This window comes from Homo sapiens, chromosome 3 (assembly GCF_000001405.40).
Source record: "Homo sapiens chromosome 3, GRCh38.p14 Primary Assembly".
Taxonomy (NCBI): Eukaryota; Metazoa; Chordata; class Mammalia; order Primates; family Hominidae; genus Homo; species Homo sapiens.
Window position 1 is genome coordinate 28,319,509 of NC_000003.12, and position 17,419 is coordinate 28,336,927.

At 33.0% G+C, this 17,419-nt stretch overlaps 2 protein-coding genes across 16 annotated transcripts in view; one reads left to right on the forward strand and one right to left on the reverse strand.

Moving 5' to 3' along the window:
• CMC1 (C-X9-C motif containing 1) overlaps nucleotides 1-5,634 on the forward strand; it is an 83,524-nt gene extending 77,890 nt beyond the window's left edge. For all 7 annotated transcript variants that reach the window (NR_138585.2, NM_001331187.2, NM_001331185.2 and 4 more), the window contains one exon: nucleotides 1-5,634. Coding sequence is in view for 6 of the 7 variants with exons in the window: in NM_001331187.2 (NP_001318116.1) it covers nucleotides 1-121 (121 nt within the window). In the remaining variant the exon portion in view is untranslated.
• The window catches only part of AZI2 (5-azacytidine induced 2), a 27,778-nt gene continuing 11,897 nt past the window's right edge, over nucleotides 1,539-17,419 (reverse strand). For 5 of the 9 annotated variants that reach the window (NM_022461.5, NM_001271650.2, XM_005265392.4 and 2 more), the window contains 4 exons: nucleotides 17,229-17,377; nucleotides 12,861-12,919; nucleotides 7,324-7,442; nucleotides 1,539-4,946 (listed from right to left, as the gene is read on the reverse strand). In NM_022461.5, the coding sequence (NP_071906.1) occupies nucleotides 4,534-4,946; nucleotides 7,324-7,442; nucleotides 12,861-12,919; nucleotides 17,229-17,377 (740 nt within the window). In that variant the 3' untranslated portion in view covers nucleotides 1,539-4,533. Of the gene's footprint in view, nucleotides 4,947-7,323; nucleotides 7,443-12,181; nucleotides 12,447-12,860; nucleotides 12,920-17,228; nucleotides 17,378-17,419 lie in introns of those variants that run through there. The other 4 variants (NM_001134433.2, XM_011534011.3, NM_001134432.2 and 1 more) reach the window with 2 other exon arrangements.

The following is a 17,419-nucleotide window of genomic DNA, read 5'->3' on the forward strand; positions in this document are numbered from 1 at the left end:
CTATAATGATCCAGCCTTTTATGAAGAATGCAAAATGGAATACCTGAAGGAAAGGGAAGAATTCAGAAAAACTGGAATTCCTACAAAGAAAAGGCTACAGAAGCTTCCAACAAGCATGTAGGCAGATACTCAAATGACATTCAGGAACTCTAATATTCATGGAAGTCATTTTATAGTCCTTAAATAATGGACTCAAGCATATATGTTTGCTTTACCTTAATTATGGAAATATTAACTTTATCTGAAATAAATATTTTATTTCAAAGTTTTGGTTTCTTAAATGGGAAAGGAGTAGTTACTGAATTGGGATATGGTTTTCCTGGTCATTCTGGACCTTTTGAAAGTTTTCCCACAACTATAGTTCTATAACAGTGATACTGATTTTTTAGAGTTCAATATGGTCCTTATATTATTTTTTTCCAGTGTATATGCTAATGGCTAATCATGGGAGCCAAAACTAAAGAAAAGCAGGAATGGACAACCTTCAAAGGTGTTAATAATAACTAGGCAGTATAGCAGAATGGCTATGAACCAGAATCCTTCCTGATTCTACCACTTATTAGCTATACAGCTGTGGAAGTAAATCTAATACAGTTTGTGAGGATGTACTGAGTATTGCATATAGCAGGTACACGTACAGTGTATAAGACAGTGCTTCAGACCTGGTACATGCTCTTATATTGGTAGTTACTGTTAGTAGTAGTAGAGGCTTATTTGGAAACTATCTTAGTCCATTTTCTGTTGCTATGGGAGAATACCCAAGACCAGGTAATTTATAAGAAAAGTTTGTTTGGCTCACAGTTCTGGAGTTTATTTGCCAGCAGCTTCTGGCAAGGGTTTTCATACTGCATCAAAACATAATAGGGTGTAAAAAATAGAAGGACAAACAAGTGTGGGCAAACTTTTATAACAGCCCGCTCTCTTGAGAACTAATACCTGTAATAATGGCATAAATCCATTCACGAGGGCTCCAGCCTCATCACCCTATTACCTCTTAAAGGCTCCATTTCTTAGTCCTGTTAAATTAGCAACTAAGTTTCCAACACATGAACTCTTGGGGGACACATCAAACCATAGCAGAACCATAGATAAGGAGATACCTACTTATATGAATTAATTTTACTTACATCTTTGATGTAGAATTTTCTAAAACATAATGTTCTTAACCTGATAACTTGTTAGTCCTTTAATCTTTCATTTTGAAAAGTTATATTTCTAAGTGAATTACCATTCTGTAACATAGTAATGGACTCAGGAAGTAGTATAAAAAATTTATGTCCCAATTTAATAATTTGAGCTTTTATATTAAAAGTTATTTTTTCCCCATGAGCTGTTAACTCTTCCACAGCCATTGTAACTAGTTTCAAGATAAGTAAATTTTACGTATATTTTCACAGTCCTCATTAAAATCACAAATAGAAATTACTACCCACTAAGACAAGGTTTAACTTTCCCTAATCCCATGCAATAGATCTGAGAGATTTTTTTTTAAGAAAGAATTTAAATAGGACACTAAAGAATCAATTCAAGTTCCACACTTTACTCTTGAGTGAACCACTCAAAAAACTATTTTACTTTTATTTGAAATACAAAGAAACCACATTTTCCCAGGCCACAGATCAAAAGGAGGGAGATTACTAGAGCAGACAAAAGCAAAGCAAATATAGAAATCTAGAGACCACACAGCATAGGGGCAAACATGCCCATATTTCCACATTGACCTTTGGTATTGGTGCATTTCCTAGAGCACAGGAAGTTAACTGTTTTTAGAGATAAATGAAAATGGAAGAGTTACTTTAAGAAGCTAGTGAAATATACAATCTATTTTATAGCTTTGATTAAAATCAGAAGTAGCCCACTTCATGTAGAAAATTCACTTATGTACATGTTGCTTTCCCCATAGAAGCCAGATTAGATTACACAGTATAAATAATATGTTCATCCTCCTTATGTCAAAGACTAAACCATTCATTGTAGCCTTCAGAATACCCATGTGTATCCATACTGAAGATTTTTTTCACCTGGTACATCTGTCTCAGTTGTGTCTTGCTTGCTTATGGGTGCCTCTGTTGATATTATTCCCTGTTAATATGTGGTAACCCACAGGTTTTTTACCCCTTAAGATACACCTTCTCCAAGTAGCCTTTCTGAATTAAGATCAGTACTTTGTTGTCACATGATTCAGCTCTTCAAGTCTGAATTTTCCCATTTATTTTGGTTTTCTAATGTTTCACATAGGCATGTTCCTGCTTTTAAGAATTCAGTTCCATTTTGGCAGCAACTCAGTAAGTCTTACAGATGTAAATTTTACTTTAGCTAATAAGGGAGCAAGAGGAAGGAATAGGTGGCTTTTTGTTATGTTTTCTTCATTCTGTCGATTTATGGATGTACTGAATTGAACCTTATAAAAAGAAATCTAAAGATTCCAAAGGAAGCTCTTTAGAGCAAGTTTCAGCTAGTATGAAAGAAGTCAACATAAAATATTCAATTTTAAATAGATTCATAAGCTACAGATGGGCCACTGTTTTTTGGTTGTTTGAATTTTACCTAGAACAGAGATATCAAGTGTAGATTTAAAAGCTTCTAGCTGGGTAAAAAATTTTTGGCTAATCTTTCCTTACTAAAGAACCTTATACATCATTTGTCTAACACTTTAAACTGTCACAGTCACTGACTTTTTAGTATACCTGTTTGATAGCTATCATCACTGTACTGTTTAAATGGAAAATAATTTTCTCCACTCAAAAGCTGGTTTAACAAATGTCTATTGTATGAATCATATTAACAACCAACAATTAGTACTAGATTTTGAGATCTATAGGCAAGGACAATATTTCACATCCACTTCAATTTCAAACAAAAATATTTATTTTAATTAAACAATTTCTTGGTATTGTTCAAAACATTAATCAAGCAATTATCTCATAAGACTTTTTTTCTTTACAAAGGAAAATTTCCAATTTTGGTTTTAAAAAAGGCAAACCAGTAAGCTACATTAGAGATCAGATATAATATACAGCCTATGCAGCCACATGAGAAATAGTTTTTGCTGCTTTGTTATTACACAGGTAGTTGCTTCCTTCAGCTAAAGCCTGGAGTATTGTATTTCTTTTATGCATATTGGGTTTGGTTCTATTACTTGGCAGGAGATTGTACTCCCCTGAGTCAGCTGTGTTCATTGGTCAGAATAAATTCCAGCATCTGACACCAATTCCATTAATCACAGACAAGCTTGAATAAGTGTAAGATAATAGAAAAAAATATCTAGTGAATGGCGAACATTGTCTATGTATGTATGCTATTCAGTAATACAGTAGAAGAGATCTGAGATATTGAGTTCAAGATATATGAAACTGTCTATCAAAAAGGATAAAAGTCCTCCTACATGAAATACTTTAATTCAGGCAAAAGGTGTATGAACCAAGTAAATCTCCACCCTGAAAGAACTTAAATTTCCATGTGAAGCCATCTTTATTTCCTTCTTTATTTCCAAATAATTGGCCACTTAGAATAAGTGTGGACATTTCATGATCGACAATATCAATACAGCCCAAACCCTGATTTCTATGATTAAAAATAATAATTTTAAATCACTTTCTCAATAAATAGAATATTACATTTCAACACAAAGTCTAACAATTTAGAAGCTGCTCTACACAATGTGCAGCTAGCTGTAGTCTCTTTGAAGAAAATGACTTTTTATCATTACACACATTTATGTTTATATTATGGCCCACAGAAGGGCAGATTAGACTGAAATCTGTGTGATGCTCCTTCTACTACTTATTGAATAGTGTGTAGGGTTACAATCATTTGTTTACACCCCAGAGTTTTTCAACTATTTCATTTTTTTTTTTTTTTTTCCCAATTAGGACTTAAGGAATGTGCTGGGACAAAGTTGGCTTCAGTGATCAGGTTGTTTCAAGTCTTAGAATTCAAACTTCAATTCTAAAAAAATTTTATCAACAAAACACTGTGACCAAAAAATCACTTTAAATCTTAAATATTGAAACGCAATAGCATATAAAGATGGTATAACCTAAGATGCTTTTATTTCATTATATTTTCAATATCTTTACGCATTATAACAACAGAAATGTAACCTACTCACATTGCCATTTGTTCCATTATGCAATTTGAAGAAACATGTTTTCCTTTTATTTTTATGAACAGATATTTAGACATTTCACATTTTGTAAAACCACGTCTACAATCTCCAATTCCATTCTTCTGAGAGGCAAAATTTTACAATTAATATAGAAGGCAGAGTTTTTTAAACACCTTAAGTTTACTTATTAATTAGTATAGTAGCATATTTCAGATTCTTAGAATATGGAGCTAGAGGGTGCTCTTTCATACTAGAAAACCAACTATGTTGGTTTTTGTACTATTGTACAGTGTGTTCAAATATAGATACTGAAGACCTCTGCAAAATTTTAATCAAAATCTCCTTTCAGTTTGTTAAATAATTTCTTGGGAGGACCACTGAAAGAGATAAGTGTCCTCATGGTGAAATCGTGAATCTCTTCCAAATTAATTCTTATAAAGGCAGTTCTGATTATGTTGATCCAAGTAATGCAGTGGTGGAAGGTTGGGTAAAGGCAAAGTTTTAGTTTTAGTTTCCCCAAATGCTGTCTCACTTGATTTAGGAGGACTTGGAAATACCCAGGAATTGTCTTCCAGAGAATTTCTGCCATAAGAACTGTGTTCCTGAAAGCATGTACCATCATTAGGAATGGATCTCTCATTGTCTGTCCATGATTGGAGGATTGCTTTCTCTGATAAAACCTTTACATCTCCTGGTAAAGGGGAAGATGTGGTATGACAAAGAGCTTTGCCATTTGGTAAGAGAGGGGGATGTCTTGTGTATGTTGCAGTAAAATTCATCAAGTGCAGTTTTGTGCTGTCTCTTCCAAGGTCTTCACTGCATCCTACAGGGGCACAGGCTAAAAAGAAAACACAGACTAAATGTCAGTTTTCATTACATTTGTGATCATAAAATTCGATAACACTTCACCAATTTGAATTCTAGAACTGGTGATGAAATTAAGATTTCCAAGTTAGTGTGATCATTGAGGCACTGTGACTAGGAGATAAATGACAGATGATCTGAGTTTTAATCCTGGATCAGCAATTTACTGTGACTTTAGATATTTGTCTCTTAGCTGCTCCTGATGTCTCTTTCCTTGTCTGCAGAATGGATATAGAATTCCTGTCCCAACTATGTCATAGAGCTTTTAAAAGATGAAGAACTACATATTTTTAAAAGTTGGAAACTAATACAGTTAAAATACAAATAAAGATCCTGTTCTTGGCTCTTATTGTGGCTGGAGAAGGATTGCAGACTGTTCACATGTCAGTGGGGACTGAGACAGTTCTTAAGTTTTAGCATTTTTTAGTTAAATATAATATTCCTTTGCTCAAACTCTTTGTCCACAGGCAGTCCAAAAGCAAATTTTTTAGAAATAATTGCATTTTTAATTGGTGAGACCCAAATGAAGTTTTTATATATCAAAGGCTTTTATGGATAAAGCAGTTTAAATAAAATTTGTGAAATCTTGTTTCTTGTAAAACACAGCAAATGTTAATGCTACTGTGGTCACAATGTAGGTAAAGTAAAAAAAAAAAAAAAAACAGCCAAAAAAAAAAAGTTTTGTACAAATGCAATGGCCTAGAAAAAGACTACTTAAAAGCTATTATTTCACCACAGCCAGCACATTGGTAATACAGGTTTCTCCACTCCCTCCAGCTCAGCCTACCAGTGTGGAAAGGTAAGTTTATCCTTAGCTCAAGAAGGATGGCCAAGTGTAACTAAGGCTTGACTTCATGTAATTTTAGAAGAAACAGATTGAACGACATTATAAAATAAGTTCATTGTTTTTCCTGGGAGGGTGGATATGGATGGAGGAGAACTGGAAGTGTAGTGTTTGGCTTTGGAAAAAAGGTGATACAAAGGTCAGGAGAAAGGTGGTTCTAGTCTCATCTCTGTACTCCTCAAAGCAATGAGTTCTGTGTAAGGAGTGGTGACCTTGAGCCTACCACTGTCATAGGAAAAGTGCTAGAAAACTTATGTTCCAAAGCACCGAAAAATATTAATCAGCTAGGAAGGAACACAAGGATGAGCCATGTCCAAGTATGAAAAGAGCATTGCTCCTTTATTATTCTTTGGTAGTTCTATTTATCATGTAAACAAAGCTACATTGAAAACTCAATGCAGAATTACTCTGTGAGTCCCTTTATAGAGAGATCTTATTTGTACATTCAACCTTTGGTCTCATATATAACTCTGACCACTGGAAAACTCAAGGACAAAGTGAACCAAAAATTAAGCTGGACTTGCTAAAACACCATACTATTTTCCCTGATTTATATGTAACCAACTCTCTAAAAATGAAAAGGAGTTCTACATTCAATTTTCCTTCCCAAAATTTAACATTTTTCCTCACTAATAAACACTCCTGAGGAGAACTATTTATGACACAATCCTCTTGTGTCCTCTTTAAGACAATGTGAAATATAAATAAGTAATTTTAAACTAGATGGTGATAATCTTTTATAAAAAGTCCTATCTCATTTTTAAAAAGTAAATTTTAGGGCATTCAAATTTGTATCACACAACTTTTCAGAAATATACCTGTTATGTAATACTAGGTACAAATGTACTGATTTTTCTCCAAGGTATAAAAATAGCTTTGGCGAAAGTAGCTACTACTAGTTAACACAAAACTCAAGAAGTTAAATCAGTCAAGCAGTTAAATATGAAAGGCAAAGCAATGAAAATTTTTGTTTGGTTGAAGGGCATAAGGGGAGAACACCTAGTCTTCGTTGTAATCAGCTATATCCTTTATGGAAAGAAAAGCTTATAAGAAATGCAAAAACCCAAATAATGAATCAAAGTTTGTTTTCTTTTTCAAAACAACCTAAAAAGCTAGGTGTTTGGTGTATTCTGTAGCACTGGAATGAAAATTTGCTTTTGGTGTCTTTTTTTTTTTTTTTTCAAATATATGAAGTAGCTGTGGTAAAAGGTCAACTAGAGCAAACTTAACACCTCAGTCTTATACACATAAGCAACACTTGGCTGAGAAAAGCCACAAGGGGAAAAGAATACAGTACTGAAGAAAAAACACATCAGCAACACCTTTATGTGTGAAGTTGACCAGTATGAGACTGAAGCCAAAGCAGAGAATGGGTAGGCTGCGAATGTACTATATATACTTTGGCTTATCAATCTCTCATTTGATGAGATTTTGATAAGATATGACAGCTAGTTGCTCTTCAGGCAGTTTGGCTGGAATCAGTGGTTTCCGGTAAACAGTGACTTGCCTTTCTTGATTGCAGTTGAGGTTTTCAGTTTTCTTAGTAGTTCAGCTTGTACTTGAGTCACCAGATGTAAATTAGACATTTCTCTCTTCAGTTCCCAGTATGCATGCTGCATATTATCACTGAAATAAATTTTTTTACAAAAAGTTAATACTCATCATTCTTTTTTAGACAAAAGGGAATAACTTTAGAAATATGCAGATCAAGTTTCTGCTCCAATTAGTTTTGAGATGATGTAAACTGAAAAAAACAATTGAAAGATATTTAACTAGGGCATTAATAAGTGAAAAGATCTTGAAAGAATAACACTGTCCATCTGATATGTAGCAATTAACTATTATATTAAACGGTATAATAAAAATAAAATTATAACTGATAAGAGCTTCTTGCAGAGTCTCAGAACTGAGATTTCATTTTAGGCTGTAATGTGCAGCTATTAATTAGTAAGTAGTAAGAAATACATTCTTTATTTGCAAATCTGATTAAGAGTAAAGTTACATTCATTCAAATATGGATCAATTTGTATTTATCTTTTGATTGTTTTGACACTGTGAATTGAAATGATATATCAACTGCTGAATATATATCCAAGTCTACATTAAAATAAAATTTAGGTTTCATGCATTACATTCTTTATGTTTGACTGGGCTGTCTCATAATGTTGGTTCTAAACCAATGTGACATGACAGCACAAGACATGAAGAGCCAGATGATTTCCTGGTAAGGAAAAAGAAGCTAGAGAGGGAAGATTATATGAAACAGAAATAGAAACTTCAAAAATGCCTCTCCTGTTTTTATAATTAAAAGTATTTTACCTCAATTATCTAAGAAATTATAATTAGTGATTTTAAATCTAATTTTTATAGATTTTGTTTTCCATTAAACATTCATATTCAGACATTCATGATTTTCTTTTTTTGCTGCTTAATTGCCAACTAAATGAAATTAAAATCTTCAGCACATATTCTCATTTTGTTGTACAGGAATATCACAAAATATTAAATGTAAGACTAAATCTTATAACATTAAAAAAAAATTATTACCCCTTAGATACTAGTGTAATTTTAATAGTACAGAAATCAAACTAGACAAACGTGTCACCTTATGCTTCAATTTTTGTGTTGCCATAAACACTTAAACTTCAAAAGGATAACATTTTTGAAATCTAATATCTCAAATTACAGAATATAGTTTATATTTAATATATAATATATAAAATATTTTGAATTCTGTAAGGTGAAATACCTTTTTGTCAATAAACTTTACACTGCTTTTCAGAAAAATCTGCTTTAGTCTGTTGTAAACATCATTTGTTAAGTTGTAGTATATTAGAAATCAGAGCTCTTTGCAAGTTTTTAATAGGTGTCAAATAATTAGTTCACAAAATTAACCATGTCTACTTCACCAAAAAACATCTGAGTTGTTTGCTACAATGAATGTTTCACATAGGAACCTGTCTTAAGTGTGAAGAGAGTTGTTGGTTTCTTGGTACAATTCTAGGCATTCAGTATGCTTTCCGAAGAGTTACTCACATTATATAGCAGTAAGTGTAAACACTGAACATGTGCTAATTCATTCATTCAGTCATGGTATGAATAATACAGCTTAAAAATAGTTTATTATTGGTGCGAGACAGTAAATCAGTGCCTGTTTTAGAGAAAAGAAGAGCAAATACTGAAGACAGTTCTGAGTACTAAAATACACAGCTAGGCATGGAAATAAACAATTCTAGTAACGTTTACAGTGCCTAATAAAAACTTTTCAGTTCAATTTAATGAAGACTGCTTAAAACTTAGGTTTAGTTAAAAACTAGGTCACTGAGTTTAATACACATGTAGTCTTGTTTTTTGCTCTTAATGTAACCTGAATTTAAAACTACAGATAGACAAATCTAAAATTATTACTAAGTATAGCTCTCCCTCTTGTGGATAAGAAAATAACTGCAGTTAGTGTTTCCCACTTTACAGTTAACATTAAAAGTGCTACAATCTTCAAAGTGTGTAAAAAATTATTTTAAATTCTATCTACTTGAACAAAATGTTTAAACCATTATTTAAATGATATTGGAAAAGGCAAGTTGTCATCCCTAATTTTTAGCAGGCTTCCAATTAAACCTCTTATCTAGGTATTTCAAAGACAATGTATAGATTGTGACCTTCCTATCCTCACCGCAGTTCCCCAACTGGGAGTATAAAGTTTAGTTTTGCTTTAAATGCCACACAAGCAAAATGCTAGTAATATATATAGTTGTCTATAAAGAACTTATACAACTACTTAAAATATTGAAATGTTACACTGAAACTTCTCAAATGAGAACTCTAAAAACAGATAAAGCACAAATAATGATGGCTGAGCACTTATTATATACTAGGCACTTCACCTACATTGTCACACCAACTTGGTAAAGTGAGTAACCTCATTTTACACACGAGGAAATGGGTTGAGAAGTCTACTCCAGTCTGCCATGTTGCTGTTCAAAGCTGTCTTTCACTTAACCCGGTCTAATGACTGATCACTGCCCTTTTGGAGTAACATTTTTGATATCATCATCAATTACCAAGCACCTACAATATGCTGACTGCCAACACAATCTTATAAGTTTTATACTTCTCAGTATAAAACTTCACATCTCTGACTTTTAAGTGAAACCTGCATGTCCACAACTGAAGGAGGGAGTACATGTCCTGCTTACAAAGTGTAACAGCTAAAAGCCCAGCTTTCTTAATTGACACTATATATGGAACTCTTTAATACACAAATAACTATTCCTTGTATAAGAAAAATCCACTTACTTGAGTTTCTACTTCAGCCATACATATTTTTCTTTAGCATTTGAAAATTTACTGAACTATTACATCCTCCATCATCACAGTAGAATTAAACTATGGGATATTCTTAGCCAAGAGTTATAGACTTAAAAGTGTGTATTTTGACAACTGCGGTTCCCCCCAAACAAGTGGCTCTCATTTTTTATTGCAAGGCACAGCAAGAATCATTTTACACTGCAACCCAAAGAAAACAAGTTCTAAGAAACCATACTTACCCTTATTGTGTGTAATGCACTCTGGTATTGGTGTGTTCTTTCTGACTTATTCCATATTTTTATAATGCTTATTATAACTAATAAAATTTCACAGCACTAAGGAAACACAGAAGAGCCTGATAAACACTAACCTAATCTTTTTTTTTCTAAACCTGGAATTTACATTTTAGGAAGTCATCTGTAACACAGTTCCACAATGTAAGTTTACAGATGATGAGCAAAAGAAGTACAGCGACTCCCTGTCTAGATCTGGTTTAAAAACTGAAGCCATCAACCTAAAGCCAAAATCAAAACAGGACACTGGCAAGACATTGGTTAAATTTCTGATAGGGCTATTATTGTTAAATGATGTTTTATACAAGGAGTATCATATAAAAGGCCTCCAGTAATTAAAAGGTTCACTCTATCTTAAGATAGAGAAACAGTATACTACACCTCATTTGCCTAGCAATATGATGGAAGAAATACAAAAAAGGAGAGTTCCAAAAAAGCAAGTTATCTAAATAACTGAAAAATATTCCTTAAAAATATCTAAACCTTTAGTTAATGGTTTAATGGAAATATCCCTATATACTTTCTCCAATATAGTAAACTAATCTGTCATCTGAATTGTTCCTCTTAAAAGTGGATGAAGTAACTTACAAAGATTAACAAAACACAAGAACATAAACTGCAAACAGGCAGAAATGATGAGGCGAAAAATAGAAAACAAAACAAAATGCAGTGGAGAATGAGGTTAACATAAAAATGCATGATAAAAGTTGACCAACAGTAGGCCACAAATTTGGTTATAAGTTTTCTAGTACATAACCAGAAGAGAGAAACCTAATCAGTTTTGCAGTTCACATTGTCTACCTGATACAAATGCAAACCAATTTGCAAAAAACCACAAGTGTATATGAGCACTAAGAGAGCCACTGGAACATGCTGTAATTACACAATTCTTTACATACATACTGTTGGTATGGCTTTAACGTGAAGTAACTTTTAAACTGAATTTAAGGCAATTATTTCTAAAAACTGTCCTCTGAATTGATACTGAGCTTTAAAGAATTGCGAGACTATACTCTGGAGCCACAATTACAGCTTTGCAGCCTTGAAAATATCTCCTTGGGACTCAACTTTCCCCAAATCCTGGCACAGAGATTTTTTCAGTATTTTGTTAGTTATCTGATGCCTTCAAACAGGTATTTTCTGGGGGAGTCAGGTTTTCAAGAAATTCTTAGTGGATATGACCCAAATTATGTAATCTCCCATGAATGGAAGCAGAAATTCCATTCTATATCACATGCTTCAAATGTACTATTTATATAGCCCCTGTATTTGATCTCTTTTGATGATATTATTCATTCTCTACTCCTTTCTAAACTGATTAGAAGTGGCTTATAAAAAGGACAATACAGAAAAATAAGGGGAAACCTAGGTTGACAGGAGAAAAGATAACAAGATAATTTTAAGGAATAGTTTACATGGATACTATACTAGACACATTTTTCAAAAAAAGAAAAAGTTTCCTTGCAGTAAACTTAGATAAAATTCGAAGGCATAATTGAAGTACTGTTCAAATGGCAGAGTTAAATAACAACAGAGACTGTACTGCCAGCTCACAAAGCCGAATAAAACAGTTACTGCTGGCACTTTATAGAAAAAGTCTGCCAACCCCTGATCTAGAAGAGTGGCTGTATCTCATTTCCTCAAATTGTTTTTCCTAATTGATCATTTCTCTAAAGCAGGTTTTTGATAGAAATTGGCCTGACACAATTCACATTATTTACTTAGGTCAGTAAACTTTGGAAGCCAAATGATAAAACAATGAAGTCAGATCAGTATTTTTTATTGGATGGAGGGTAACAATGTAGAGAGGCTATCTTAACATAGTAGAAACAACAATTATTAGATAGCTTAAAACACAGAATTGAAGTTACTTAAGTAAAAATGATACGTATTTGAGGAAAAAGGGTTGAAAAAGTATATGAACTCTGATGGCTACTTCTATTCTTATGCGAAGAGGGAACAGTCCTCAAAATTCATGCTATCCCATGATTGCGCCACTGCACTCCAGGCTGTGCTACAGATACTCTGTCTCAAAAAACAAAAAACAAAAAAAAATAAATTTCATGCTATCCCAAAGACTAACAATGGCCAAGTAGGCTCTTAAGACAAAGGAATGTTATTATATATAATGAATAATTCTTCATGTACAAATTCAGTATTACAGAATACCTCCACATAGCTAGTTCCCTAAAATCATACCTAAAATATTACTAAATGTTCAGAAAGTTTAAGGCATCCTGTTTTTGTATTACTTAAATTCAAAGCTGTTATTAACAATTAAATTTTATTCTACAAATTTATTGTGATCAGAGGTTACATCAGTATCCAAACAATATCCATTTTTTGTTTTTAAGGTTAAGTCATAAAAGAAATCTAAGGACCTACACAAAGTGACTTATGGAAGAAGACAACGTATTGTCTTAATGCTGAAGAGTGGTCATACCTTGAAATGCTTAGTTTTTGGAGATCTCTGCTCTTCAGATTGTCTTCCTGATATGGATCCTGTCATTTGTTTAAAAAAAAGAAGTTTAAAAGTTGTAATTTTTACAATTTATTTAGTCTCAGCTCTTTCTTACCAGAGACATGTTCAGGTTTTACAGAATATATCTGTAAGTGCAAAGAATACAATTAGATTTTATACTCAATTTTAATGAAATACCTCCAATCTATAACAAATATCTCTAAATCACGTCCAATGGTTTAAAGTATTAATGCTTTAATTTTCTTTAAAAGAATAAAATTGCTCTCATTCTGTAAAAGACCTTGTAATCTTACAAAATATATTTCTAAAGACACCAATCTGAAGTGTATATTCAAAAAAGTGTTACACATTTGTCACATTTCTGTTTACTTATGGTATGGGTGAATGAATTCTATGGGAAAATGGAAGTTTTTTTGGTATTTCACTTTTTCGTAGTATTACCAAAAACACACCAGAATTTTAACAGGTTACTGTTGTAAAACATCAGCATACATTTCCTCCTTCCACATGGATTAAAAATGACCTGGCAAGGACATCATAAAGTCCTTATATGCTTTTAAATTCAGTTGATTTAGGTTGCAGATATGACAGAACCTTCAGAAGATATTTTTAAATGACTTAGTATGTTTGAGACAACTCTAACACACTTGTTTGCAATGCATTCTCATTTAAGGATCTGTAACAAATGAAAATGATTATCACAGGTACTAATTCTCCTGGCAGATGTGGCCAGTATAAGCTCAGAATACAAATTTTAATTTTATTATTTCTTACTAATACAATCTAAATTATATAATTTGCAGTGAAACATTAAAAAGCAACACAAGGACTTCATGAGTACTCTCAACTTGAGAGTAAAATGTGAAAAATACCTAATCTTATAGGAGTTAAAACATTTCTGGATCTCTGATTTTAATACTCTAACAGTTAAGTTAAATCTTAGGGAGCCCTAAGGAGAGGGGAAACAGAACTGGCCCACAGGTCCAGGAGGTTTGACCACTAACGAGACACATGTCCTTGGACCTTGTTTTTTCCTGTGCCTTACAGGAAATAATGGAATCTGATCAGATCACTTTTAGTATCCTTGTATCATGAATTAAAATTTTTTTTTTAAAAATTAGTATATACTTATGCATATGTTCATTGAAAACCTTCCTCATTTTTAAAGCCAACAATATAAAAAAATTTGACAGTTTGAGTGGGAAAATGTTTTTCCAACTACTATCTAACAATTCAGAGACTCTAATGTACATCAGCAGTAAGCTCATAGAGACTGTATCTAGTATTCAAAGACCCTTTTGTTGGCTAGTAATAGATCACCTATGTCCTAAAGGTGGTAATGGATCTGTTCCCTAACTAGTGCCACATGATGTGGGAGTTTCATATAAGGTGAGGCCCATGGCTACAAAATCTTGGGAAATAATGTTCAAGTTATATAGGTTTCTATACTATAGCAGAACCTTTAATATACTACAGTACACTGTGAATCTCTAACTGGGCTACCGTTATTAGGGACTTTAGACGTCTTCTAAACCAACTTAATTTTACTGATCTAGTATCTCTTTTACTTCTTTGGCCCTAGAGTCTGTATTTCTCACAGGATCAATGGTTCTGAATATAAATGGCTGGAATATTAGGGGACACAGAAAGTCTAAAAGGCCCATAGTGGAACTGCCCCTGAAACCTCACTAACATGAAATATTAATGAACTGAGTTCCCTCACTAAATATTTAAAAAACAAACAAACAAACTAAAACAACACTATTATATCCATGTAGGATGCTATTACATACTTCAGAAGGTTTTATAAAATGCTTCACTGAAAGCATCATCTTAAAAATTTTTTTTAAAATGGCTAGACTAATGTGAGCTAGAGTAATATGGCTAGAGTATTGTGAACATAAATTTCTCTCCTTGGCTTCCTCTCAGATTCCTGTCTCCAAGAGGATTCTGATCAGCAACATCACTGAAACAAGATTTGAAAGTATGCATCAAGATTTCAACTTGGAATCCTTGATAAACTTTTATTTCCACTCTTCCTTTTCTTTGTTCATTTCTTTTAGTTGTGAGTGAGCCCTTTTTAACTTCACAGCCTCACCCTACCCCTAATAAATGCCTGTGAAGGTGGGGGCCATGTTATAAATATTTCTTTTTCAATATTCCTCTCTTAGCTCATCTTCAACTGTTTAAAGTTTCCTGTCTCTCAGATTTAACTTAGTCATCAGTTAAAGAAAGTGATTTCTTCTACCTCTAAAAGTCTGTTTCTGTGATTTGGTTACTTATGACAGATGAATTTAAACTAAAAGCAAATTTATTCCCTAGCACCATCTAGTGGAAAAGAATAACTAAAATGCTAAGAATAGAAATTTCAATACACATAAATACCTAAAAGTACTGCCCTTCTGGATTACTCTAATCAAATTTTTTAAAAAAGCATTTACCTACTGAACATACTATATAATGGCCACTATGATAACTGGCTGTGATTAATATATTAAGTCCTGTAAGCATGATAGTAATGTTTGATCAGGAGCATAAAACTGTGTCCCCTAATATTCCAGCCATTTATATTCAGAACAGTTGATCCTGTGAGAAATACAGACTCTTGGGCCAAAGAAGTAAAAGAGATACTGGATCAGTAAATGAAGTTGGTTTAGAAGACGTCTAAAGTCCCTAATAACTGCTTTATATACACTAATTTAACCTTCATGAAAAAAGGTATTTAATGTCTACTTTACAGAAAACAACTTCCCAAAAGTAAAATGGTGTTCCTAATGTTAACAGTTAATAAGCAACACCAAAATTATGAGCTAAGTTTCCGATTCCATGGTACTGCTTGCTACACTACAACAAAATATCTATCACGTATAAAGGCTATCAAATTTCCTTTCAAACAGAATATAAATAATGACAATTATAATTCAGAATTTCAAGGTCCATATCTTTTCCTGTAAACCCATCTTTTGAAAAGAGGCTTCTCAGTGGTGATGGTAACTGAGCTGTAGAACAGGATGCTGAGTCTTTGAAGGAATTGTGGTGTGTGGCCACAAGCTCAAAGCTGGGGGAATCAACTTTGTAAGTAGGAAAAAAACCACTTTGACTCTAACGGGAGTTGACAGTAATTTTTGTAGTGTTTCCTTTTATCAGGGATGGGGGTGCCAAAGGGAGTTCTCATTGCCCAGTTCAGAGGAATTCATTTGGCCAAGGACTAGGCAGACTGCTATATTATTCTTAATGTCTGGCTCATTCTTATCGAGTGGTCACCTCTCATAAAAACTACATTAGAGAAGAAAGAAGTATCAGCTCCATCTAAGAACACTTGAGATTCAGGGCAGAATCTGGAAAGCAGTCAGGAAGTATGGGATGGAGTTCCCCTTTCAGATGGTGGCATCCCAGAGGAACAAGAAGAAACACAATTCCTCAATAGTGTTAGAATGCTTTGGTAGGCAAAATGGTTGAGTGGAGAAACATTATATAACTGGTTATACCTTAGTTTGAGATACATGAATGCATAAAATGGCTATTTGCACCAGACTACTAAGCTTTTCAATTTCTTGTAATAATTATTTAAAATCTGCATTTGGTGCATTGCTCTCACACTACCTTGCTTCTTTATCATTTCTTCTTTTAATCTCAGCACTGTCATGATGTCTGAAAACATAGATCCAAGCTTGTTAGAACCTGATGTAAAATACTGGGCAAACAGACTCTTGGTGAGGACCTAAAAGGCATCTTGTTTTAGTGGTTGACTTCAGGCTAAACACACTTCAGCAACTTGGCAGGTTTTTGTTATTTTTTTCCAATTCTTGAATTCTCAGATATTTGCTGGTAGTTAAAGATGCCCCCAAAGTATTAGTCTTTTGAAAATAAGTAAGCTCTGTCATGTTTTCTTTGTTGGTCGTGTTTTTCTTTGTTGTTGTTTTAATTATAAAAATCGAGTTGTCCCTTATGATATCTAAATTAATGAAACTATTAAGTAAAATAATATAGGACTTAAAACCTGAGTTCTCTTTAAACTTTACAGAGAAAAGGAAATTGAAGGAAAGAGAGTCTGAAAGAACAGTTATAATAAACTAATAAGCTTACTAAAAATCAACCTTTTAAAAAACAAAATTGTATAATTTTGTGACAGACTAAAAGTATATGGCATGTCAAATTTTAGCAGAAATGCTTAAAGAGGTAGATAAACAAGAATTTTTTAAGGAATAGAACATTCTCTAAATAATTACAATTTATTTTAACTCTATGGTTTAATACAATCTTAGTTATAAATCCTACATATGATACACAAAAAATACTGAAATTCTCAATTTAATAATTCTGTAATACCGTTTGTTTGGCTTTCTGTAGTTCTATTTTGAGATCGCTACATTCTTTCCTCATCAGTTCCAGCTCTTGTTCCAAACCATGGATCTTCAGGTCACAGCTCAACTTTTCCACCTCCCAGTTTGATGAAGGTGGATTTAAATTCCTCATCACTACAAAAAGGATGGACACTGAAATTGTTATCTTTTCCTTCT